This window comes from Homo sapiens, chromosome 17, assembly GCF_000001405.40.
Source record: "Homo sapiens chromosome 17, GRCh38.p14 Primary Assembly".
Lineage (NCBI taxonomy): Eukaryota > Metazoa > Chordata > Mammalia > Primates > Hominidae > Homo > Homo sapiens.
In genome coordinates this window covers 77,864,025-77,887,241 of record NC_000017.11, presented here as the reverse complement: position 1 = coordinate 77,887,241, position 23,217 = coordinate 77,864,025, and the positions used below count along the sequence as shown (strand labels likewise).

General features: G+C 52.5%; 1 long non-coding RNA gene across 1 annotated transcript, besides 5 other annotated features; it reads left to right on the top strand.

The window, feature by feature from the left end:
• Window positions 1–3,154: 3,154 nt before the first annotated feature.
• Window positions 3,155–8,241, top strand: LINC01973 (long intergenic non-protein coding RNA 1973). The gene is made up of 2 exons (NR_028337.1): window positions 3,155–3,320; window positions 3,704–8,241. It is a non-coding gene; the product is annotated as a long intergenic non-protein coding RNA 1973 (long non-coding RNA).
• Window positions 4,318–4,677: an enhancer, noted in NCBI's record as "active region_12853". NCBI's record gives its function as "activates an Ori minimal core promoter by ATAC-STARR-seq in GM12878 lymphoblastoid cells {active_cell/tissue: GM12878}" and the evidence as "EXISTENCE:reporter gene assay evidence [ECO:0000049][PMID:35858748]".
• Window positions 10,973–11,158: a silencer, noted in NCBI's record as "fragment chr17:75872166-75872351 (GRCh37/hg19 assembly coordinates)". NCBI's record gives its function as "represses an EF-1alpha promoter that drives an FKBP-Casp9 reporter gene in an ReSE screen in HepG2 liver carcinoma cells {active_cell/tissue: HepG2}" and the evidence as "EXISTENCE:reporter gene assay evidence [ECO:0000049][PMID:32094911]".
• Window positions 12,207–12,707: an enhancer, noted in NCBI's record as "H3K4me1 hESC enhancer chr17:75870617-75871117 (GRCh37/hg19 assembly coordinates)". NCBI's record gives its function as "activates a minimal SCP1, AML or CMV promoter by ChIP-STARR-seq in primed H9 embryonic stem cells {active_cell/tissue: H9 hESC(primed)}" and the evidence as "EXISTENCE:reporter gene assay evidence [ECO:0000049][PMID:30033119]".
• Window positions 14,258–14,759: an enhancer, noted in NCBI's record as "H3K4me1 hESC enhancer chr17:75868565-75869066 (GRCh37/hg19 assembly coordinates)". NCBI's record gives its function as "activates a minimal SCP1, AML or CMV promoter by ChIP-STARR-seq in naive H9 embryonic stem cells {active_cell/tissue: H9 hESC(naive)}" and the evidence as "EXISTENCE:reporter gene assay evidence [ECO:0000049][PMID:30033119]".
• Window positions 17,571–17,660: an enhancer, noted in NCBI's record as "active region_12852". NCBI's record gives its function as "activates an Ori minimal core promoter by ATAC-STARR-seq in GM12878 lymphoblastoid cells {active_cell/tissue: GM12878}" and the evidence as "EXISTENCE:reporter gene assay evidence [ECO:0000049][PMID:35858748]".

Genomic DNA, 23,217 nt, shown 5'->3' with positions numbered 1-23,217 from the left:
CTGGAGATAAAAAGACAGGACTTAGTCCCTAGCCTCGGGGGTCTTACTGTATAATAGAGTTGTGGCTGTCAGGCTGTGAGGAGACAAGACAAAGCCAGTTCCCTGTCGCACAGGGGTTTTCAGAGTTCGGGGTGGAGAGGGTGGAAATGGGAGCCCCAACAGGCAGGGTGTCAGGTAGGGCAGCCCACGTCCCACCCAGAACGACATGCCTCCTTTTTAATCTGTGTCATATTTTGGGGTCTTGAGTAAGGTGCTATTTCCCAGAAGGATCCTAATGCCAAAACAGTTTGCAAAGCTCTGTGGGAGGAAGCTGCAGGTCACAGGAGGGGAAACTTAGATCACACAGACTCAATAAGGAAGACCGGGGCTGCTCCCAAACCTCAGGCATGATCCACTGGGATCCATCAGCAATGTCTTTTTCCTCTTTATTATTTCTTCCAAATACCAGCCCTGGGAGACACGTTAGAACCCATCTAGCTACACATAACAGCTCTCCACATCTCTGTGGGAATATAGACAGGCCCGAGGCAGGGGGCTGGCTCAGGGTTCCACAGTGGCAGAGGAAGAGCCTCCACAGATCCCGCCTTGCCCTCTGTCGCCAGCTTCTCCTCTCTGCCTCCATGATCTGGAACCTTCAGCTGGTCAACTGAGCCACGCCCGGTGCTGTGGTGCTTCCCCAAGCTGCACACGCCGATGGCAGTGAGGAATGACTGCGCCCATTGCATCACCTCCTCGCTGTCAGTGAGCCAGTGAGCACCTGCGGCTGCTTCGAGGGGAACTACAATAAAACTTCCAAGACAGTCCACTTTTTAGGAGGTATAAGCAAAGAGCAAACACAACCTGTCAATCGTGCCGAATGCTGCTGATGCTGTTCTCTCATCCTAAAACAGACGATGAAAATGCTAAGCTCTGTAAAGAAGGACTTAGTCATATTCAAAATTCTCCAATAAACACCTCACTGTTGTGTTTCGCCAGCTCCGCATTACACGCAAGTCTCAATGGCCCGTGGCTCAGTGTCCTGCTCCGTGAAATGACGGAATTGGACACAGCTCACAGCTCACTCTGGAGTTAACTGAAGCCCTTGAAGGAAAACCACCAGGTTTTCTAAGAGTTTATGGCATTATTTATTTTTATTATCCTCACCAAAAATTTATGTTCAGCCACTTTTTTTTTCCTCTAAATTTTCTGGAACGTTTCTCCTTAGTGTTCTTCATTCATGAAGCACATAAAAGTCTCTTTGACCTTATCTCTCTCTCTCTTTTTGTAAAGCTCTTCTTGGTATTATTGAATTTTATTCATAGCAAGACCCATCTGAGGCAATCCTGGTGCAATCTTCCTCACTTTGTCTGTCTTCCTTCCTTCCTTCTTTCCTTTCTCCCTTCCTTCTCTCTCTCTTTGTGTCTTTCTTTCTTTCTTTTTCTTTCTCTCTCTCTCTTTCTCTCTCCTTCCTTCCTTCTTTCCTTCCTTCCTCTCTCCCTCCCTCCCTCCCTTCCTTCCTTCCTCCCTTCCTTCTCTCTCTCTTTCTTTTCTTTCTCTCTCTCTTTCTGTCTCTCTCCTTCCTTCCTTCCTTCCTTCCTTCCTTCCTTCCTTCCTTCCTTCCTTCCCTTCTTTCTTTCCTCCCTCCCTCCCTCCTTCCCTCCCTCCCTCCCTTTCTCTCTCTCTCTCTCTCTTTCTTTCCTGTCTCCAATCATCCACCCACCCACCTATCCATCCACCCACCCGCCCATCCATCCATCCACCCACTCACCCATCCATCCATCCACCTACCCACCCACCCATCCATTCATCCACCCACCCATCCATTCATCCATTCTTTCACCTAGTCATCCACCGATTCAACCACCCATCCACCCATCCAGTTATCTACCCACCCACCCATTCACCACCCACCCACCCACCCATCCATCCACCCATCCATCCAATCATCCACCCATCCATCCAACCACCTATCCACCCACCCTTTCACCCATCCACCCATCTATCTATCTATCCATCCATCCTCCATCCATCCATCCATTCATTTAACAAAAGAGACAATCTCCTGTCCCCTTTGGGAACACTGCCAAGTTTTCTCTGCCTTGCAGCTGGGTCGAGTTGACATTTGGCAGAAGGAGGTGGGTGGTACATTTTGCATCAGGGCCTAGGCCTGCCTCAGACACAGGTGTTCAGCTCCATGCCAGGACTAATGCTGGGCATGGAAAGCTGGAGAGGTGGCTTTGTGCCCAGGGCCGGTTGTAGCATCTTGGCATGTTTCTGTTCCCAAAGTCCCCAGTGGGCACAGGGACATTCAGCCATCTTCAGAGATAGCTACCATTTAAAGCAACAAGGAGATAGGACAACCATCACTTTCCCTGACTCCAGTGAGACCTGGAGGCTGTCCTGCAAGTGAGATGCCACCTTAAGCTCTTCATGAGCAGAGTTGCCCATAGCCCTTAGCTCACTGCAGGAAGCAACCAATGTGGCCCCCACATTAGTAGCCCTCAGAGCCAGACCAAGTTCAAAATTTGGTTAACAAACCTGTAGGCTTCTTCTTGTTTTCAAATGTCACAGAAAATCTTTTTGTGCTATTGTAGGAATGGAATCTCTCCTTCCTTCAGCCTCATCTGAGTTGAGGTGGGGAGAGTTGGACACAAAGTTCAAGGGGAGAGAACACTCAAAACAGCCCCCAGAAAGCCAAGGCAGGGGTTGGCACACCAAAATGACACAGAGACAGCTCCATGCCCTAATGGGTCGATCCCATCCTTCAATAACAGTGGGTGGCTGGGATCTTCTGCATTTCACGGGAGGCTCAGGGAGATGAAGCAACTTGCCTGAGGTGTCACAGGTGTAGGAAGGAGAGTAGGGGCAGATGGGGCCCAACTCCAGGTTTGCCTGGATGCAGAGCCACGCGTTCCCCCCGCCTCCTCCTTGATGGGTTCTCTCTGCACGCTTCAGGGTGCCCCCATGCTCTGCTCGGCCCCTGCAGCAGGAGGGCACAGAGCTCACTGCTGGCTGGTCTCCATGGCAACAGCTGACGAGTCTGCATCAGATGATGGCAGAGCTGCCTTGGAGCGCGAGCTTGGCTGTGACGGCAGGGACTTGGGAGGAGAGGAGCTGGAGGAGTGGGGGATGGGGCATGAGCTGGGGTGCCGGATGGGCTGCTCTCCCAGCAGCCATTTGGAAGATGCTTCCAGTCAAGTCTCAATCTCAGTCGGTCACTGGTCCATGTATATTTCATGGACATCTACCCTGTGCTGGGCACTGGGCAGACAACAGTCTACTGGACCCAGTCTCACTCTCAAGGGGACTGTAGTCCAAGAGAGAGGCAGGTAGATTATCAGGTAATTCCAGCTCACCACGATTGATGGGAAGGTAGGGAAAGTTTGGGATACATGCAAGGCCGTAGGAGAGGCACCCCACCGGGGCTTGGGGGCAGGAAAGTTTTCCAGGAGAGAGGGATATCTACGTGGCTTTCTGGCGGGGGGGGGGGGGTCGGGGAGAGAGAGAGAGGGAGAGAGGGAGAGAGAGAGAGATGAATGAGATCTGCCAGGAGTCCTCAGTGCCTGGAGCTCCAAGGGAGGAAGGCTAGGGAGGGAAGCCATGCTTGTCCTGGGGCCGAGATGAGGAGGAAGGGGAGGGTCTGCTCCAGGCCAGCCCTGGACAAGGGGATAAATTTTGTCTTCACCAGACACTGAATTGGTCATCCTCACCTCCCACCTTACAGATGAAGAAACTGAGGCTCAAAGAGCCACAGCGGGACGGAGGAGGTGGACCCGGCTCTGATGCAGGTGGCTGGTTCGATGGCAGACTCCCCTGTGCCGAGACTCCCAGACCAAATCCGGAGGTCCTGGAGTAGAGTGGGTGGGTCCGCCAGGGCATGGCCAGGCTGCCTGTCTCTGGAGACTCCCCCAAGGAAGTTTCTTGACCTTGAGGATGATAACGCAGGGCAGGCTCTTGAGGGCTGTGCAGGGACTCCCTGGAGAGCCCTGGGAAAAGCAGGTCCCCGCCTGCCTGGGCCTCTGCCTCTGCTGCAGGGGCCAGCACAGGTGTCAGGTCCCCACACATTTCATGTCCAGGCCATTTTCCCACTCTAGGGCCAAGGCTGGGCACTTCCCAGTCAGTGGCACAGCTGGTACTGTGGGGTCTCTCGCTCTGCAAAGGTTGGTTTCAATCCCAAGTGTCACTGCTGGAAACACTGGCCACCCCGGGACATGTGGTCTTGCCAGTCCTTCTGCAGGGCTCTGTTTCTTAGGTCCCAATCATCTGCAGGGAGCACTAGTCCGAGATCTTCCAAGATGCTGGGCAGGAACAAGCCTGCTATGCTCATTCCCAAAGGACTCCACATCTAGATAAATGAAGGCCTGGAAGGCTCTTTGGCTCTACACTAGCAAAACAGCTTACGTCACCCTGCCTAAAGAGACAGTCAGGAAATCCCCTTGTTCCTGGGCGAGGAGAAGCTGGCCCACACGGAGTGACGGCATTGAGCAGATACTACCCTTGGCTCGCTCATGGATGGGGCGGGGCCTGCTGACCTTGACAGCAATCAGGGGAGGGGGTTTGGAGGGAAGGGGTTAGCTGGTGAAGGTGAGGGAAAGGACTGGAGTTAGGACAGGGTGCAGCGACCACATCCTGTGACGAGGAGGCATCTGTGACCTGTGTGATCTGCCAGGCAGGCAGCACAAGTCATTGTACTGCTACTATGCCCGCTACTGAGACAGGAACAAAGAGAGGCTGTTTCTGCCTCTTGGTGCTCTCCATTGGACATGTCTGCTGGGCAGTGCTGGCTTTTACCATAGGTATTTTTCTGCTCTTCCTTCCCTCCTCCTCTCCCTCTCTCTTTTCCAGGGCACTCACACACACACACTTGCACACATGTGCACAGTTGCACACACATGCATTGAACACATGTGCACATATATGCGTTTGCATCCACTTGCACACCCACACACCTGTGCACTAGCACCCATTTGCACGCATGTCCACACACTTGCACACATGTGCATTTGCAGAAATGCACCCTTGCACTTGTGTGACACACCTGCACACTTGCATACACCCATTTGCATACAGGCACAGACACACTCGCATACATTTGCACACACAGCCACAAACTTGCACAAGCAGCACTTGTACACTGACACATATCCGTTTGTGCCTATACAGTGCACACTTACACATTTGCACACAGCTGTGCTTGCTCACACATTTGCACACACCCACCTACACACTTGCACACATACTACACACTTGAGCGTGCAGCACACATACCTATGTGCATACATGCACATTTGCACATGCACACAGCAGTGGCACACACTTCTCTATCACTCTCCCTAGTCACTGTTCTCCCCTGTGATTCCCACCCCTCTGACCGCCCCTGCTCACTTGCTGCCCCCTCCACTGGAAGGGGCCTGGCCTGGTGCCCTGTCTCTGTCTGTCTCCACCGTGCAGGGAGGTTTCACAAGGACTGGCTGATGTCTCGCCTCGAGCTGGCCTGGCCGCAGCTGCTGCTGAGCGGAAGTCTCTGAGGGGCGAGGCTGAGAGGAAACCACACTCTCACTGGGGTTCCCGCAGCTCTGGCCTCTGGGGAGGGGTGTGGAGATGTGTGGGCGTGAGATGGCTTTGAGGGAGGGACAGCATGAAGCTTTTCGCTGGGTCTGTCTTTTCAGTCTCCAGGACAAAACTAGGCCACTGTGCTCCAGGAGAAGGGAAAACCCACGTCCCCCCAGGCTGGGCCCACCGGCAAATCGGGCTCCCAGGCCCTTCTCAGCCCATGCTTCTGTCTCTGCCTTGTCAGGCTTATTCTTTGGGGCTTTGAAGCAGCCTTTGGTGGGCAAACGGCATCTCAGGGAACCCTGGCCTGTCTCCTCCAGAGCTTGTGCCTTGGCCCTGGGCAGGGGCCACCATGGGCTGTTGATGTAAATGGCATCCCCAGAGTTGTGCAGTGTGGGGGCAACCCTGAGGTATCAGCCCAGCCCCCTGTCTGCAGCTTTTGCTACCCAGCCCAGCTCCAGCTCTGTCTTTGTCACTGGGGGTGGTGGGGGAGGCTGGAGCTCAGGGACGGGGCACTCCTGGCAGATTCTCCCTGCCCCAGGTGGAAGGGGAGGGGGGAAGTACCCATCCTCCATCCTCCTATCCTGCCAGCGGGGTGGGCGCTACTATGCTGGGGAGGGTCTGGCTGAATAATGATGCTGAGCTCGGGACACCAGCCTTCTCCGTGCACCTACTGTGTGCCAAGTACCATCCCAAGAGCATTATGGGTGGTAACTTATACAATGACTCAGAGAGGCACCGCTATAATCACCCCCAGTTTCTGTCTGGTTCCAGTCCTGGCCACACAGCTAATAAGCAGCAAATGGATTTGATCTGATTTTATCTGAACCCAGGCAGGCTGGCCCAGAGCCCACTGTCTAATCATTGGGCCGTCCAGCCTGTCAAGACTCCAGGCTCGCTGGCGTCGTACCCCTCTGTCATTTCCCAGGGAAACAAGCTCTAGCAGCACCTGCCCTGTGGGTACTTTGGCCCTGCCTCCCTGCCTCCCTGCCTCCCTGCCTCCCTGCCTCTCATGATAGGAGCCAAAGAATGGTCTCCTTTGCAGGAAAGGAGCTCGACGGGGGTCTTCTCTTGCAGGCTCTGTCTTGCATGTGGGTCCTGAGCTTTCTCATTGAGTAAGGGGAGGGGGCAGCTGGTTCAGTCCAGCGCAGAGTGGATGGAGGCCAGTTGAGGCTTTCTTGAAACCCTAAGCCCAGCTGGGATCCTCGGGGAAGGATCCTTCGCTGGGATCTGACTGGCTCTTCCAGAGGTCAGTGGGGCATGTGGCTGGAGCCCAAGTAGGAGGGAGGAAGAAATGGTGGTCTGAGTCCTGGGGTGACCAGGCCCTGAACCTGCCCTGCTGGGACCCCATTCCCTGACTCTAGGCCCCCTTTCCCCACCACACAGGACACCAGGCTCTTGCCTTAAGACAGGAAAGGAAATGCCTTATGGTGAACAATTCTCCAGGTCCCTATTGTGGCTCCAACAGATGCCAGAGGGACATGGCAGGTGACCCTGGTCTCCTACGACCCTGACTTTACTTGCTGTCATGAGGCCAATCTCTTACCTTGACCCACCTCCTGCCTCTGCTTTCAGAAGGGCAGAAGAGCGGGCCTCCTCTAGCTTCCCAGCCGCCTCCCGCCTCCTGCCGCCCGGCAGCGCTGGGCCCCCCAGCAGCGAGGTTCAGGAGGGGAAGAACCTCTCGCAGGTGAACAAATTGCTGCACATCAGACACATTCTTTTCAAGCCTCATTTTCTCTCCTTTTCATGCTAACTTTCCCACTATTAAAGAGCATTTTTAAAAAGAAGATGAAAAAAGGCAGAGAGAAAAGAAGGATGAAAGTGTGAGCGGGTATCCGGAAGTCCTTTTCAATTGCCTGCTGCTGTGCAGGGTCTGAACTAAGAGCAAGAAATTGGAGGATGCTGGAGGGGCGAGGTTTCGTTTCAGTCCTGCCTATTGGGCCAAGTCTGGGGCGGGGAAGGAGAGGTGATGGAGGTGGGCCTGGCTGGGCCCTGCGGCCCTGGAGGCTGCCCCTCTGCCTGCCACCCAGCCCCTGGCCTGTGCCTGGCACAGGAAGCCCGTCAATAATTTCTTGTTGAATGAATGAAAGAAAAGAAATCAGTGGATGGAGAAGGGCTGGATTCTTTTGTGGGGACCTTCCACGCCACCTTCTCTGTGGGGCTCTAGGGCTGAGAAAGAAAGGACAGATTTGGCAAAGGTCAGGCAGGGGCTGGGAAAGCATTAGGTGGACCAGGCATGCTACAGCAAGGCCACGCCTGCACTGTTGTCCCACTGGTGACACCCATGGGTGCAGCCATGGCGGGTGGGCGCAGTTTCACATGGGATTGGGGGTGAGCCTGGGTTGGGTGGGCGACCCCCACCCCTTCCCTACCCCTCTCCCCACCAGCAGGTACTACTGGGTCTGCGTGAAGATAAAAGCTCAGGAACATGCCAGGAAGGTGTGACCATGATGATACCTCTGAGATGAACCCAAGAAGAAACAGCAGAGTATTACAAAGGGGAACAGGACTCAGGGTGGACTTCAAGTATCATTAAACATAATCAAATATTTAAAAAGTTATTATTGACTGGGTGCAGTGGCTCACGGCTTTAATCCCAGCACTTAGAGAGGCCAAGGTAGGAAGATTGCTTTAGCCTAGGAGTTTGAGACCAGCATGGGCAACATAGTGAGACCCCATCTCTAAAAAAAAAAAAAAAAAAAAAACAAGAAAAAAACAGGAAATAAAATACAATAAATAAAAAAATTTAGCTGGGCATGGTGGTGCACACCTGCAGTCCCAGCTACTCGGGAGGCTGATGCAACAGGATTGCTTGAGTCTAGGAGGCCGAGGCTGCAGTGAGCTATGATCAGGCCACTACACTCCAGTCTGGGCAACAGAGCAAGACCCAGTCTCATACACATACACACACACACACGCAAGAAAGTTTCTGTTTAATCCAAAGGATGGAATGCTATCCAGCAGGGAAAAGGAAGGAGCTACTGGTACATGCAGCAATGTGGGTGAGCCTTGAAAGCATTGTGCGAAGTGAAGGAAGCCAGACACAGAGGCCTCTGTATATATGACATTCTGGAAAAGGCAGAGCTTTAGGGACAGAAAATCCATCAGTGGTTGCTTGGGGCCAAGATGGGGGGAGAAGATTGACTGCAGAGGGCCAGGAGGGACTTTTCTGCATCATAGAGACATTCTCTATCTCGATTGGGTGGTGGCTCCATGACTACATATACATGTTGAAATCCATCAAATGGTATACTTAAAATTAGTGAGTTTTATTGCATGTGAATTGTACTTCAACGAAATGGGTATATTAAAAATCTGCAGCTGTCTGCAATCCTTCTATGTCCTAGGCATGAGCTGGGAACATCTAAATATAGGATTTTCAATATTCAGGACAACCCAGTATTTTTTCAGAGAGATGAGCACAGGCTTTGCGAGGTCACACGGTGAATGCAGGCCACACAGCTTATATGCCAGCGTGGAGATAAAGGCTGAACTTTCTGCCAGGGGCCTGGAGGGGAGTGAGCACAATAAGACCTGACCGTGGTGGCCATGGAGCCTGGTGCCCCAGGGTTCTGTGTTCCCAGGGACCTGCTGTGTAAGGCCCGACCATCTGCCCACAGGAGCTCAGATCACCTTTCTCTCCAAACTGTTTGGGTATTTGAGTCCCTGGATTTTTCTAAATCAGAGTTTGGTTAGGCCTGGTCCCCCAGAAATGCCCTCAGAGCCCCAGGCAGGGACCCCAGCCACTTGCCCTGGAGGAAGCCCCTGGGCTTGCCTCCCTCCTTCCCCCACCTTCTCTTTCTCTCTGGATATCAGCATATTTGTCACACTTACTTCATTTCTCCTCCAGCTTGGTGACGCAAGGTGAGCTGAAGGAGAGCCGCTTGGGTGAGGATTATGAAGGCACGGGTGCCATGGAAACCACTCTGAAGGCCCCCTAAAGCTGCAGCTGTCAGGAGGGGCTGTCTGCTGCCATTGGTCGGCCACGTGGACCCTCTCCCTAACACGATGCGTGACTTTTATTTATTTTACTCTGTTTTGCATCTTATGCCTGCTCTCGGCTTCTCTTGGCTTCCTCACAGTCCTGGTGCAGGATGCTGCCTGCAGGTCAGTAGGATAAAGGTGCTAATGTTTTCTGTTTCTCTTTTTTGAACTTCTGACTTTTTAGGCTCATTTTCTGGTGCTCTCTCCTCCATGCCATAAGGCAGCACAGATTTCAAGCCATAGATGTTGGAGGCAGAAAATGGGATTATGTTAGACAGAGAGGGAAGCCAGCTCTTCTAGCAGGTGCTGTAGAAATGGCTTCTGATTTTGGTCACAGAAGCAGTCCCTAACTTTCCCTGCAAATCCAAGAAGCCCTCAAAGGGGCCAAAGGCAGGCTCTTTAGCACAATGTCAATCTGAGCAGAATGGAAGGGTTGCCAGAGGTTGCTAGTGAGATTCAAAGCCCTGTGGGTGCCTTGATCTTCCTAAGCTTGCTTTTAGAGAAGTGTGCTGTCGAAACTTCAGGAGGCCGCCAGCTTCTGGTTGGACCTCAACCTCCTCCTCCCTCAACCTCCTCCTCCCTTTGAGTAGGAATCAGAAGAATCTTTTACATTAGCCTTTGCCTTGATAGTTTTTATATCCTTCATTTTATTTCTTTCCAGCAATGGCCCTGAGAAATTGGCAGGCGAAGTGCCATTAACCCTGCATTGGAGAGGAGGAAATTGAGACCCAATTTTTTTTTTTTTTTTTTGAGACAGAGTCTCGCTTTGTCACCCAGGCTGGAGTGCAGTGGTGCGATCTCAGCTCGCTGAAATCTCCACCTTTCTGGTTCAAGTGATTCTCATGCCTCAACCTTCCGAGTAGCTGGGATTACAGGCGTGTGCCACCATGCCTGGCTAATTTTTGTATTTTTAGTAGAGACAGGGTTTCACCATGTTGACCAGGCTGGACTTGAACTCCTGACCTCAAGCGATCCACCTGCCTTAGCCTCCCAAAGTGCTGGGATTATAGTCGTGAGCCACTGTTTCCAACTGAGACCCAATAATTTAAGTAGAAGGGCTGGGACTGGGGCCTGAGGCTGCTGCTCCCTGCCTAAGGCTCTGAGACTGCTTGATCACAGGGTCAAGATCTTTGATGAAGCCGCTTTCTCAAGCTGTGGGTGGGCTTTTCCTGGTAGGAAATTTGCCTGAGACCTGGCAAAGATGGGACCTTTTAAATAGTGAAGGGAAATGAGCAATCCTTCCAAAGTCAAGTTCCTCAACGAAGCCCTTCTAAACACTGTCTCTCCTCCCTGCACACATGCCTATGTGCACACAATACACATGCTTGTTCATGCTTTATCCCTCTTGGTTAGGGGTCTATCCCCATCAAGCCATTAAAGTTGTTCTGGTGGAATCTCTGATGACACATTTTTTTTTTGGCTTGTGAAAACCAACCATTTTGTTATTTCATGAGTTTATGAGTTGACTGGGCTCAGCTGGGAGGTTCTTCTGGATGGGGCTTCAGTCATAAACAAACATGACTAAGTCAGAGTCCCCAAGATGTATCACTCACATCTGGCATTTGATGCTGACTCACTCTGGGCTGGCCACTCCACCAGGGCTGTTGACTGGAGAGGCTACACGTATCCTAGGCTGGGATTCTCACAGCATGGGTGCCTGGGTCTGAGAGGGAGGGCCCCAAGAGAGCACATTTTAAGAAAGAGGAAGTGAAATGTGCCAGTCTTCAAGACTGGACCCAGAACTGGCATAATGTCACTTTTGCTGTGTTCTCCTGGTTGCCTGCTGACATGTCAAGTACCACATCAAGTGGGCCATTTGGGGCCTCATCTGAACTGAGCTCTCTGGCCACATGATGTAGCTGACCTGCCCCTTCTTGAAGCCCCCTCCTCCCCGGCTTCACTGCATCCCTCTGTCTTGGTCTCGTCCCCCTCTGTGTTCCTGCCACACTTTGATGATTTCTGTTCTCCAGGTTTTCTCTTCCTTGTTTCATTCTTGGCCTTTTCCTCTCTCAACTCCACACACTGTCCCAGAGACCCCATCCAAGCCCATGATGTGATGTCGTATCTGTGCCAAGGAACTCCAAGTCTGCCACTCCAGCCCACACCTGAGAGCCAGCCTTGGGCATCCAACTCTCCCAGACATTCCTGCCCAGAGGCAGATTCAAGAATTCTAAAGTGCCTCTTGCTCAACCCATCCAGAGAGGAGCTTGCCATCCTTCTCCCAAACTTGTCTCTCCTTATGAGGTCCCCAACTTGGTCCCCCGGACTTCTGACCCCAATCAGCCCCTCTACCATGTTCCTGGGTAACAGAAAAGGCACTACTTGGGTCATCAGAAAAAATAACTGGAAGTGATTTAGAAAAATAAAAAGGAGTGCCTACTGCTCTAGGATTTTTCTTACTTTAGAAGGAAAGCAGATAGAGATCTGGGAGCAGCCCCAGCTTAATTGGAAAGCCACATTTGTACAGGCTGGAGGGGCCTCAGGAATGGCAAACAGCTTCTCTTTGCTCAAAGGAATTTTCTGGAAACCATAATAGCTGCCCTTGCTAACCACAGGCTGGTCTTTCTGGCGGAATTAGCACGAGTATGTGGTCAGAATGGCCGGGCTGGAGCCAGCCTGGATGTTTCTGCAGTCTGAGCTCCCTCAGTGCCCACAAGTGGGGGCTGAGATTCAGGGGAGCACGTAGGTGCCCCAAGGAGCTGGGGGTCACATGGGAACCTGGAGATTGGTGAAATGCAGTTTGGCCTGAATGGGGAGTAGGGCCCTCCATCCCCTCTCCCTGCACCCTCCCTTCTCCTGGCGCCCTCCCCTCTCCCTGCACCCTTCCTCTCTCCGCTGAGCAGCCTTCTCTTTCTAAGGAGCCGAGGGGCACAGGAGTAAGCAGAGGAGCTAGTGTGTGCCGAGTGCCCGCTCTGTGCCAGGCATTTTCACACCATCTATCACATCACACTCACTCCGAGGGCAGGTTCCATGATCACCTCCATTCTTCCTAAGAGGAAACAGGCTCAGGATGGTTCAGAAGTTGCCCAAAGTTGCAAAGAGGAGACGCTGGGGTTTAGTCCAGCTCTGTCTGACTCCACACCCAGCTTCTGGGCACTGCTTGTCTTGCACTGAGGGTCCACACTCTGCTGCGGGGAGGCGGGGCAGTGCAGAAACCCGGCTTCTGAGGGGGTGTAGACATACTGGGTGCAGGCAGCTGCTGGATACTATAGGCACCACCAGTGTGACTGAACCGGGCCTCCCCGAACATCTCGCCCCACCCCCCAATCATGTAACAGGACACTGCTTTGCTGTTGAGACCACAGTGGGACAAGAAAGAAGATACAGGCTCTGATCTGTGTTTGGTGATGGTGCAGGGAGGGAGGGGGGTGGCTGTCCCTCTGTGGGGACCAGGGAGGGTTTCAGAGGCAGGTTGAGTCTTTCTGGGCATGCCACCTGCATTTAAGGGGCAGCCATCAGACAGGTGACCTACTGGGCTAGACCCTTCCCTGGATATCAAAACAGGTGCAAGCTTCAGTCCAGCCATGTGGCTGGGGAGGGATGGGGGGAGCAGGGGCCCCTCGAGAATGAGAACATATTATTTGAAAATGGGCTTTGCAGGCTTGGTCTGCAAGGCTGGACTCTGCAGGCTTGGCCTGGGGCAAGGGGCACAGAGACCTTGAAGGGGACCCCAGTTTCGGGTTTGAGCAGGGTGGAGGGGCTACTGGTGCAGGAAGGGGCTGCTTCGAGTGGAGTCAACCAGCTGACGCTGAGGCAAAGGGCTACCCACGTGAGCATCTTTTCCAGGATGGCTTTTTAAAACAGCCAGGATGAAATGGACACATCCTTGGACGTATTCAGCGAGGAGACGGGGCTCCTGTGAGGCCATGGCCGTGGGAGGTGTGGGACGAGAAGATGGGCTCATTTTTATTGCTTGGTGCCCTTTGTTTCTGGCTCAAACAGACCGGGTCCTGATGTCTGCTTCAGTTGCAGGAGCAGAGCCAGTATGCTTGGCACCTCCGCACGCATCCTCTCCCCTCCTCTCCCCCCCGTCACTATCTCAGATCTCTTTCATCCACCTGCAAAATGATTAAGGCTTGGGGCAGCCTGAGCCAGGACTGACAAATCAGGTGCAGGCTTTCAGAGACTAAATCCTGTTTTGAAGTCTGTTTACTCTAAAAAAAAAAAATAATCTCTTTGATGCCTGGAGAAGAAAGATGCATATTAAACAAAGACCCAACTCTGAATTCCAAATGCATGGTCGTCGTTATCAATCTCTCCAGGTCCAAACTCGGGAAAGCATGCATCCTCCGTGTGCGTCCTTTTCACCAGGCGTGTGGACACGTAATTCATTAGAGTTAATTAGTTAGTCACATGCATCCCCCAGATGCTGGATCAGAGCCTTCGTGGGGGCCTGTGCAGCTGTTGGATTGAGAGGGAGACACAGTGGAGATGGCAAGGGCAAGGGAGCTGAGGCTGAACAGTCTTGATCTCTGAAACAGATGGTGTGCACGTGTGTGTGTGCATGTTTGTGTAAGTGTGTGCATGTTTGTGTAAGTGTGTGCATATGTGCGTGTGCGTGTTTGTGTGCGCATGTGTGTGCATGTGTTTGTGTCTGCATGTGTGTTTGTGTGTGCGTGTGTGCGTGTGTGTGCTTGTGTGCGTGTGCGTGCATGTGTTTGTGTGTGCATGTGTTTGTGTGTGTGCATGTGTGTGCGTGTGTGTGTTTGTGTGTGCGTGTGTTTGTGTGTGCGTGTGTGTTTGTGGGCGTGTGTGGGTCTGTGTGTGTGTGCACGCGTGTGTGTGTGTGTATGGTCATTCACACCCCTGGGTGCAGCAGCAGGTGTGGAGGAGCATATATGGGGGGAGCTCTGAGCACACGGGCTCTTGGCCGGTGCTGCTCCCACCAACTCTGTGGCTTGAGCTGCCTTCTGCATGTCCCTCATCAAGTCAGCTGGGACATCGTTGGGGGCCAGATCGTGTCCTCTCTCGACGAAATTTATGTGCTAAAGCCCAAGCCCCCAGTGCCCCAGAATGTGACTGTACAGTATTTGGAGATGAGGCCTTTCAAAGGTGATTAAGTTGAAATGAGGCCGTTAGGGTGGCTCCTCATCCAACCCAACTGGTGTCCTCACAAGAATTTGGACACAGAGACACCAGGGATGTGTGAGCGCCCAGAGACCATGTGAGGACACAGTGGGAAGACAGACACCTGCAAGCCAAGGAGAGAGGCCCGAGGAGAAGCCAAACCTGCTGACACCTTGATCTTGAGCTTCTAACCTCCAGCACTGTGAGACGATACATTTCTGATGTTGAGGCCACCCCCAGTCTGTGGTTCTTCGTGATGGCAGCCCCAGGAAACGAATGCAGATACCATCACCTTCCCGTCGGCAGTCCAAGGTCACCGAGCAGACCCAAGGAGACACTGCAGGCGAAAGTACCGTGGAGATTAGCAGGCAATATGCCATTCTCGTTCATTCTTCTCTTACAGCATTAAGGAGAAAATCTCATTTGGTGAAGGTATGTCTCTAACACCTTGCTAACACTTGGAAATCTCCCATTTGAAAAAAAATTTAGATAAAATTCACTGAACATAAAATTCACCACTAGCCACTTTAAAGTGCGCACTTCTGTGACATTTATTGTGTTCACAATGTTGTGGAACTGTCGCTTCTATCTAGTTCTAGGACACTTTTCATCACCCCAAAAGGAAACCCCATACTCATTAAGCAACCACTCCTTCCTCCTTCCCCCACCCCATCTCCACACCCGCCCCCCACCCCCTGGCATTCAGCACCTTGCTTTTTGTCTCTGTGGAGTTACCTATTCTGGATATTTCATAGCAATGTAATTATTTTACATGTGACCTTTTGTGTGTGGCATCTTTCACTGAGCGTGATGTTTCGGAGGTTCCTTCGTGCTGCAGCCTGAATTGGTGCTTCCCTCTTTTTGTGGGCCTTCTTTTTTTTTTTTTTTTTTTTTTTTGAGACGAAGTCTCACTGTCACTCAAACTGCTGGAATACAGTGAGTGGTGCAATCTCGGCTCACCGCCACCTCCTCCTCCTGGGGTTCAAGCAATTCTCCTGCCTCAGCCTCCCGAGTAGCTGGGATTACAGGTGCCCACCACCCCACCTGGCTAATTTTTGTATTTTTAGTAAAGATGGGGTTTCACCATGTCGCCTAGGCTGGTCTCGAACTCCTGACCTCAGGTGATCTGCTCACCTCGGGCTCCCAAAGTGCTGGGATTAGAGGAATGAGTCACCGCGCCCAGCCATGGGCCCTCCTTTTGTGACACTCCACTGCGTGGGTCAACCACACTTTGTGTATTCATTCAGCCCTGGGTGGACATTTGGGTTGTTTCTACCTTTCTGCTTCTGTGAGATGAACTGTGCTTCTGTGAACGTTCATGTGCAAGTATTTGGATATCTGTTTTCAATTCTTTTGGGTGTATACTAAGAGTGGAATTCCTGGGTCATAGGATAATTCCATGTTTAAACATTTTTGAAGATTGGAAATCTCCTTTTTAAGCAAATAAGAGCGTTCTTCAGGATTCAAGCCTTCAGCAGACAAGAACACTCAGCTAGACTTTGCTGACCTTGATTTCTAATGTTATTTATGTTTACAGGATCAGAAAATCCAATGCTGGATTTTCATTTGTAGTAGCGACATGAACTTGTCTTTTAAAAATCAATGTTATTATTATTATTTTTTTCTTTTGAGACAGAGTCTCCCTTTGTCACCTAGGCTGGAGGGCAGTGGCAGGATCTCAGCTCACTTCAACCTCCACCTCCCAGGTTCAAGTGATTCTTGTGGCTCAGCCTCCCAAGTAGCTGGGACTACAGGCGAGCACCACCACACCTGGCTAATTTTTGTATTTTTGGTAGAGACGGGGTTTGGCCGTATTAACCAGGCTGGTCTTGAACCCCTGACCTCAAGTGATCCACCTGCCTTGGCCTCCCAAAGTGCTGGGATTATAGGCCACCATACCCAGACTGAAAATAAACGTTACTTCAAAAGTGAGTAGGTTCATGGTCAGGAGGGGTGGCTCATACCTGTAATCCCAGCACTTTGGGAGACTGAGGTAGGCGGATTGCTTTTGAGCCCAGGAGTTTGAGACCAGCCTGGGGAACATGGTGAAACTTGTCTCTACAAAAAAAACAAAACAAAACAAAACAAAAACTAGGTGGGCATGGCGGTATGCACCTGTAGTCCCAGGTACTTTGGAGGCTGAGGTGGGAGGATCACTTGAGCTCAGAGGCAGAGGCTGCAGTGAGCCGTGATTGCACCACTGCACTCCAGCCTGGGTGACACAGCAAGACCCTGTCTCAAAAAATAAAAAGCCCTACATGGGTAGGTATTTTTGTCCATTTGGTTTACTACCTATGTCTAACGCCAGAGTGATGCCTGGCACATATATTAGGTCCTCAATAAAAATGTGTTGAATAAATGACTATACCTAATACATACACACACAATATTATACATCATAGTCCAGGGTGGGCACAACGCTGGCAAAAATCACCAAGCTGGAGGGCCAATGCCTGAGAAACCCAGCCCAGGGGCTGCCGGACAGATCCGAGGCGGACACCCAGCCTCACTGCTCGTTCACTCTGACTTTGGCCAATTTCTTACCTTCTCTACACCTCAGCTTCCTCATCTGAAAAACGGGGTTGCTGGGAGAGTGCAATGCGCTGTTGTGCAACACACTCAACGAAGCTCAGCTACTGTCATTATTACCATCCTCAGCCACTGCAGGGAGGACCACAGAGGGGAGCTAAATGCAAATAAGGGCTTGGGAGAGCCCTGTGATGCAGCTTTTTGGGGGAGGCTGGGCACCCCGGCCTGAGGCTGGCAGGGGTGTGGCTCTGTGTTCAGCACCCATGATGGGAAGTGACAGTGTCCTGCCTTTGCTCCGTGCTGTGCCGTTCACAAACTTGCTTTCACATCCCTTTTTCTCACCTGATCTGCCCACAGCCTGGCGGGGCCGGCAGAGCTAAAACTGTGAATTGCATTTGACGGGGGAGAACACCTGAGGTGGAGGAGAGGTTAAGGGGCTCGTCTGAGTTCACACAGCAGGTCAGTGCCGGAGCATGGATTGGTGAGTTGGGAATCACCATGGCCTCGTGGTCTCAAATAAAACATCCCTTTGCTTGTGTGTGGGTTTGTGAAGCTGCCTGCCCGGTAACCTCCCCTGGGCTAGGTCTGCAGAATGAGGTTCCACTGGGGCACTTCAGCTGCCTCATTCTGCAGAGTTCTTGCTCCGGATTCTGAAGCATCTGCAAAGGAGACACGTCGCCTGGGTCTTGAGAAGACAGAACTGTTTGCCCCACGCTGGGAACTACTGGGGAAGGGGAAGGGCACATGAGGCTTGGCCAGAGTGCCTGGAGGCTGGCTTAGGGCCAGCTGCATGATCCTTGCATGAAGGAGGAGGAACGGCCCTCTTCATATGCCATCACCTAAGGCCACCTCCCATCCTCTGCCTGGGACACTGGCTCCTGGAAAATGCTCTTTCCTCCTGGTGCCACAGCCCCAGCGAGCTCGACGCAGCTCCCCTTCCACAGACACAGAACTCTCCAAACTCCCAGTGGTTTGGGAAGAACAGCCACCACATCCCAAGCCCAGCACCACCTTTTGGGATGTGATATGTCAAAGTAGTAAGATGATGAAGTGTCCTGTGCCGGCCCATCAGAGCCTTAGCGACAGATATGGGCCCAGAGTGCCTTGGAGAGCCAGAGCCTCTGCAGTGACGTGGAATTTATTATACTTTCCATCCATCGCTTGGCAGCCTTCTCCCAGCTCTTTTCTCTTGAAAAATGGTTCCTGCCAATCTTGCTGTTTACTTAAGTGGTTATTAAGTATTTTTCCCGCTGCTGGTCTGGGTACTTCTTGATAAACATTATCTATTTAAGAAGAACTTTTAGGGAGAGCTCCACTCTGCCCCTACACACACACACACACACACACACACACACACACACACACACACACGTGTATGCACACACACGTATGTGCATACAGACGCACATGCGCGTGTACACACACACACACACACACACACACACACAGAGTCTGGGCATGAGAGTCCGGGTCCCAAAGCTTCCTCCCCAAGCCGGCTGGGGTCAGGCCACCACCGAATGTATCACTTGACCTGACGTGACAGCCTGGTTTCCTCTTCGCCCCTCTGGCCAGCCTCCTCTGGGCATTGGAGGTGGCTCCAGCTTTGAGCTGCACGCAGCTACCAGTTGTGCCTCCCAAGGCATCCCAGGGCCACTCTGCTAAGAGCATCTGCTTGGCTTTGCCCCGCAGCAGCGGTGAGGGAGGGGAGGTGGCTCGTGTGCATCGGGGGACCCTCTGACGTGTCAGTGCTAAGATCCTATCTGCAGGTCTCGAGCCCTCCTGAACTGGAGGGCTGGGGCCCTGGGTGGCACTGAGGTCAGGTGAGGCCCGGATAGGAGGACAGGATACCGAGGAACAGGAAGAAAGGCAACTTGGCTGGAACGTCCTTGCCATGGGTAGGCTGGGGGTCTGGGGGCTTGACTGAAATTGGGTGTCTGTGTCGGCAGTGGGTGTCTGAGCCTCACCCCTCCAGGGATGGCAGAGGGTATGAGACACTGAGCTGTGCCCAGCTTCTCTGGCTTCCCACACGTGCCAAGTGCAAGATGGGCTGCTAGTGAGCTTGGCTACTTCGGGCAAATCCTCCCCTCTCTGGACCTCAGTTCATTCACCTGGGGAGTAAACGGGGTGGGCTCCATCCCTACTCCCACAGTCCAGGACTCCCAGAGAGCATGGGTCTCATGGCTACTCCACAGGCTGAAAATCCTTCAATTTAGGAGCTGCTGCTGCTGCCCTGAAAACCAAGCTAAGCTCACCTTCAAAACGAGAGTCCCGGGTGGATAACTTGTCCAGCGCCTCACCCTGTGTCGGTCCTAGGTCAGTGCTGTTTAAAATGTAGGTGCTGTTGTTATTTAGGTCTGATATGGCTAATGGACCAGGCAATGGACAAGACAGTTTATTACTCACAGCCTCGAGAAAGGCCCAGACCACACCATGCAGGCCACACGGGGAAGCACCAGGGCTGGCCAGAGGCAGAGGGAAGTAGAGCCCGGCAGGAGCCTTTCCTGTGGTTTCCATGGGAAGGACTGGGTGGGGTAACCAGGTTTAGGATTGCTAGTTTGAATAGTTTCAGAGGGCTCTGGGGATAGGGGTTGTCCCAAGATGTCTGGCACTTGGCCCTGGGGTGATCAGGGCAGGTGCATAGTGGCCCAGAGTGACAGAGCCTGATAAAGGAGGTGGCTGGGGTGTCGGCTCTGGACTGGTTGGTTTGCATATGAAAGGCCCTTTAGAAGGTGAGCTGTTTGCTACATTTAGAAATTACCTAACCCTGGGAGGGGGCAGTCCCACCAGGGTCCGGAAGGCCCCAAGATGTCAAAGCATCAGAATGCAGAAAATAAAAGGCATGGTTAATAGACACACAATGAAATGTGCACTGTGTGTAATTTACTGTTACTATTTTTTGAGATGGAGTTTTGCTCTTGTTGCCCAGGCTGGAGTGCAATGGCGTGATCCTGGCTCACCACAACCTTCGCCTCCAGGGTTCAAGTAATTCTCCTGCCTCAGCCTCCCGAGTAGCTGGGATTACAGGCATGCGTCACCACGCCCGGCTAATTTTGTATTTTTAGTAGAGACAGGGTTTCTCCATGTTGGTCAGGCTGGTCTCCAACTCCAGACCTCAGGTGATCCGCCCACCTCGGCCTCCCAAAGTGCTGGGATTACAGGCGTGAGCCACTGCGCCCGGCCTGTTATTATTATTTAATTTAGAGTCTACTAAAAATATTTTTTAACAGATGGGGATCTCACTATGTTGCCCAGACTAGAGTTAATTGACTACTTTTTAGAGAAGTTTTAGGTCTACAGAAAAATTGAGTGGAAAATACAGTGTTCCTGTATTACCCTCCCCACTGCCAACATACACACTTTCCCTGTTGCTGAGGTCTTGCATTAGTGTGGCACATTTGTTCCAATTGAACCAATGCCGATACATTGTCATTAACTAGGGTCCACAGTCAACATTAGAGTTCACGCTTTGTGTTGTATACTCTGTGGGTTTCAGCAAACGCACAATGCCCTGTATCCACCGTTCCAGTAAGTTATAGAATCATTTCACTAACCAAAACCCCCTGCGCTCCACACAGTCGTCCTCCGTTCCCCTCCAAACCCCGGTGGCCACTGATCTGTTTACTGTCTTCATGAGAGGGAGTCTCGCTCTGTTGCCCAGGCTGGTGTACAGTGGCACGATCTCAGCTCACTGCAACCTCTGCCTCCGGGGTTCAAGCAATTCTGCCTCAGTCTCCTGAGTAGCTGGGACCACAGGCCCATGTTGCTACGCCCAGCTAATTTTTGTATATACATTTTTTCAGTAGAGATGGCGTTTCGTCATGTTGGTCAGGCTGGTCTTGAACTCCTGACCTCAAATAATCCGCCTGCCTCAGCCTCCCAAAGTGCTGGGATTACAGGTGTGAGCCGCTGCGCCCGGCCCACGGTTTTACCATTTCCAGAATGTCACATAGTCAGAATCATACAGGCTGCAGCCTTTGGAACTGGCTTCTTTCACCTAGCAATATGTGTTTACATTTCCTTCCATGTCTTTATGTAGCTTGATAGCCCATTTCTCTTTCTCTCTGAGTAATATTCCATTGTCTAGATGTATCACAATTTAAATGTAATGTTTATCCATTATTACTATTTTTAAAAAATGACAATGGCCTCTGTGGTGAGGGCTGGGCTGCAGAAGTATTCAGACAGTCTAGGGTGGAGGCCCGATGAGACAATTATCCGGGCCCTGAGGCCCGAGGTCAGACAGTGAAGGTGGGAGTCATCCCTGGGCTTGGAGAATCTGGGCAACTGTTTCTATCCTGCTCTTCACCTGGCTCCTGCAGGCAGTGCTGTCTATATCTGGCTTTTTTTTTTTTATTTTAAAGAAATGCCTTTTAGCTGGTGGTGACCCAGGGATACCCCCCTTCATCAACAGACCCACGGGCAGGAAAATCCCATGCAGGAGAGGCAAGAGGGCTCTTCAAGTCGGCCAGAGTCGAAGCACCCTCTGCTTGCCTGATCAACCACCAACAGCTTTGGGAGGTTAAACATCCAAGAGAAAGGCGCCGCTGAGCCAGGCGCTCCAAAGCTGTCCCCGGGGAACCCTGGCAGCCAGGGCTGGCCTGCTGAGCCTCCTGGCCCATATGGTGGGCTGCGGGCTGCGGTGAATGGGGGTGAGCTCCCTGCCCTGCAGCCGGCTGCCTGCCCCAGCCCTCCTCAGAATCCCTTTTCTTTCCAGACATAAACGAGGCCCACCCAGAGTCTCGGACATGGTTTGCTGCTCCTACGCAGGCTGCTGGCTCATGTGGCTCTCAGACAGGGCGTCTGCTCTCCCCTCGTTTCACAGCGAGACACTGCATTGACCCAGCCTGGCCTGTTCAGATATGTGTGTGTGTGTGTGTGCATGTGTGTGTTTGCGTGTGCGCCCGCGCGTGTGCGTGGGTGTGTGCGTGCGTGTGTGTGTGTGTGTGTGTGTGTGTCTGCAGAGGGGGTGGTGCTGTGGACAACCTCTCCTCCCTCTCCAGAGCCACGCAATCAGGACCCAGATGTCTACGGGGGAATCCTACTGCTGTGAGGACCAAAAGGGAGGGGGTGCTCAGGCCTCGGGCACACCTGATTTTCTGCCACGCCCAGCTTGCTTCAACGTGTCTGCCCCACTCACTGGCAGTGTCTGATACAACCCCAGCTCCTGGAGTCTCAGAACTGCTTGAAGCTACACGAAGGTCACAATGAGCCAGTGAGAGTGATCAGGAAATACCAGCCGTTTCATCTTCTCTCCCGCGACACTCAGAAATAGCCCCAAACACACGCCCCAGCTGTAATACTTCCCGGCTGGTGTTGGACAGACACCTCAAAGGTTTCAGCCATTCTCGGAGGTCACAGGAGCGGCTGGCAGGTGGCTGCCCTGCCCAGCAAGCAGGCGGGTAGAACTGTGCAGACATTTTAACACCAGAAGTTAGGTACATGCTTCAGTCCTGGGGCCTTCTCAACCTGGTTCACAGTCCTCTTCTTCCAGGGAGGCAGCCCTGATTCTATGCAAACCTCAGCACTCCTTTATTGCCTAATCTTAGCCGGTGAGGGCAGTCTGGCTCTCCTTGGTTATAAATGCATTCTTCCATCACATCCTCGCCCCCATGCTCTGTTGGCTGACCTTGTCCTTGAGGGAAGGTGAGGAAAGAATCAGATGTCCTGTTCTCGGCCCCTGCTGGCCCAGGCCATGGTGCTGCCGGCTGCATGGACGTCCACATGCTTCTGGCTAATGAATGCTTCTGTTTCCTCATGGGTCAAAAAAGTGAAGAAACGAGGGGGCTGGCCTGCCTCGAAGTCAGGGGCCCATCCTGGAGTCATCTGGGCTTTTCCTGCAGGACTTGTTGGCATGGAAGGTGCCTGTGAGCAGGAGGGATCGTGCTGTTACTGTTTTTTGCTGACGGTTGCCTGAAGCCGAGTGGGCTCCCGAGCCTGCTCTGCTGACAGGAGCTGTGCACCCAGAACACCCAGCTGCCTCTGTGAAAGTGAGGGCAGGGAGTCCCGGGGTCCTGGAGTGGCCCACGCCGGCCTGGAAGGGAGGCAGCTTGCCCGAGGCCCCGGACTCCAGGCTGGGTGCGGCCTGGGCTCCACACTGAAGGCGGG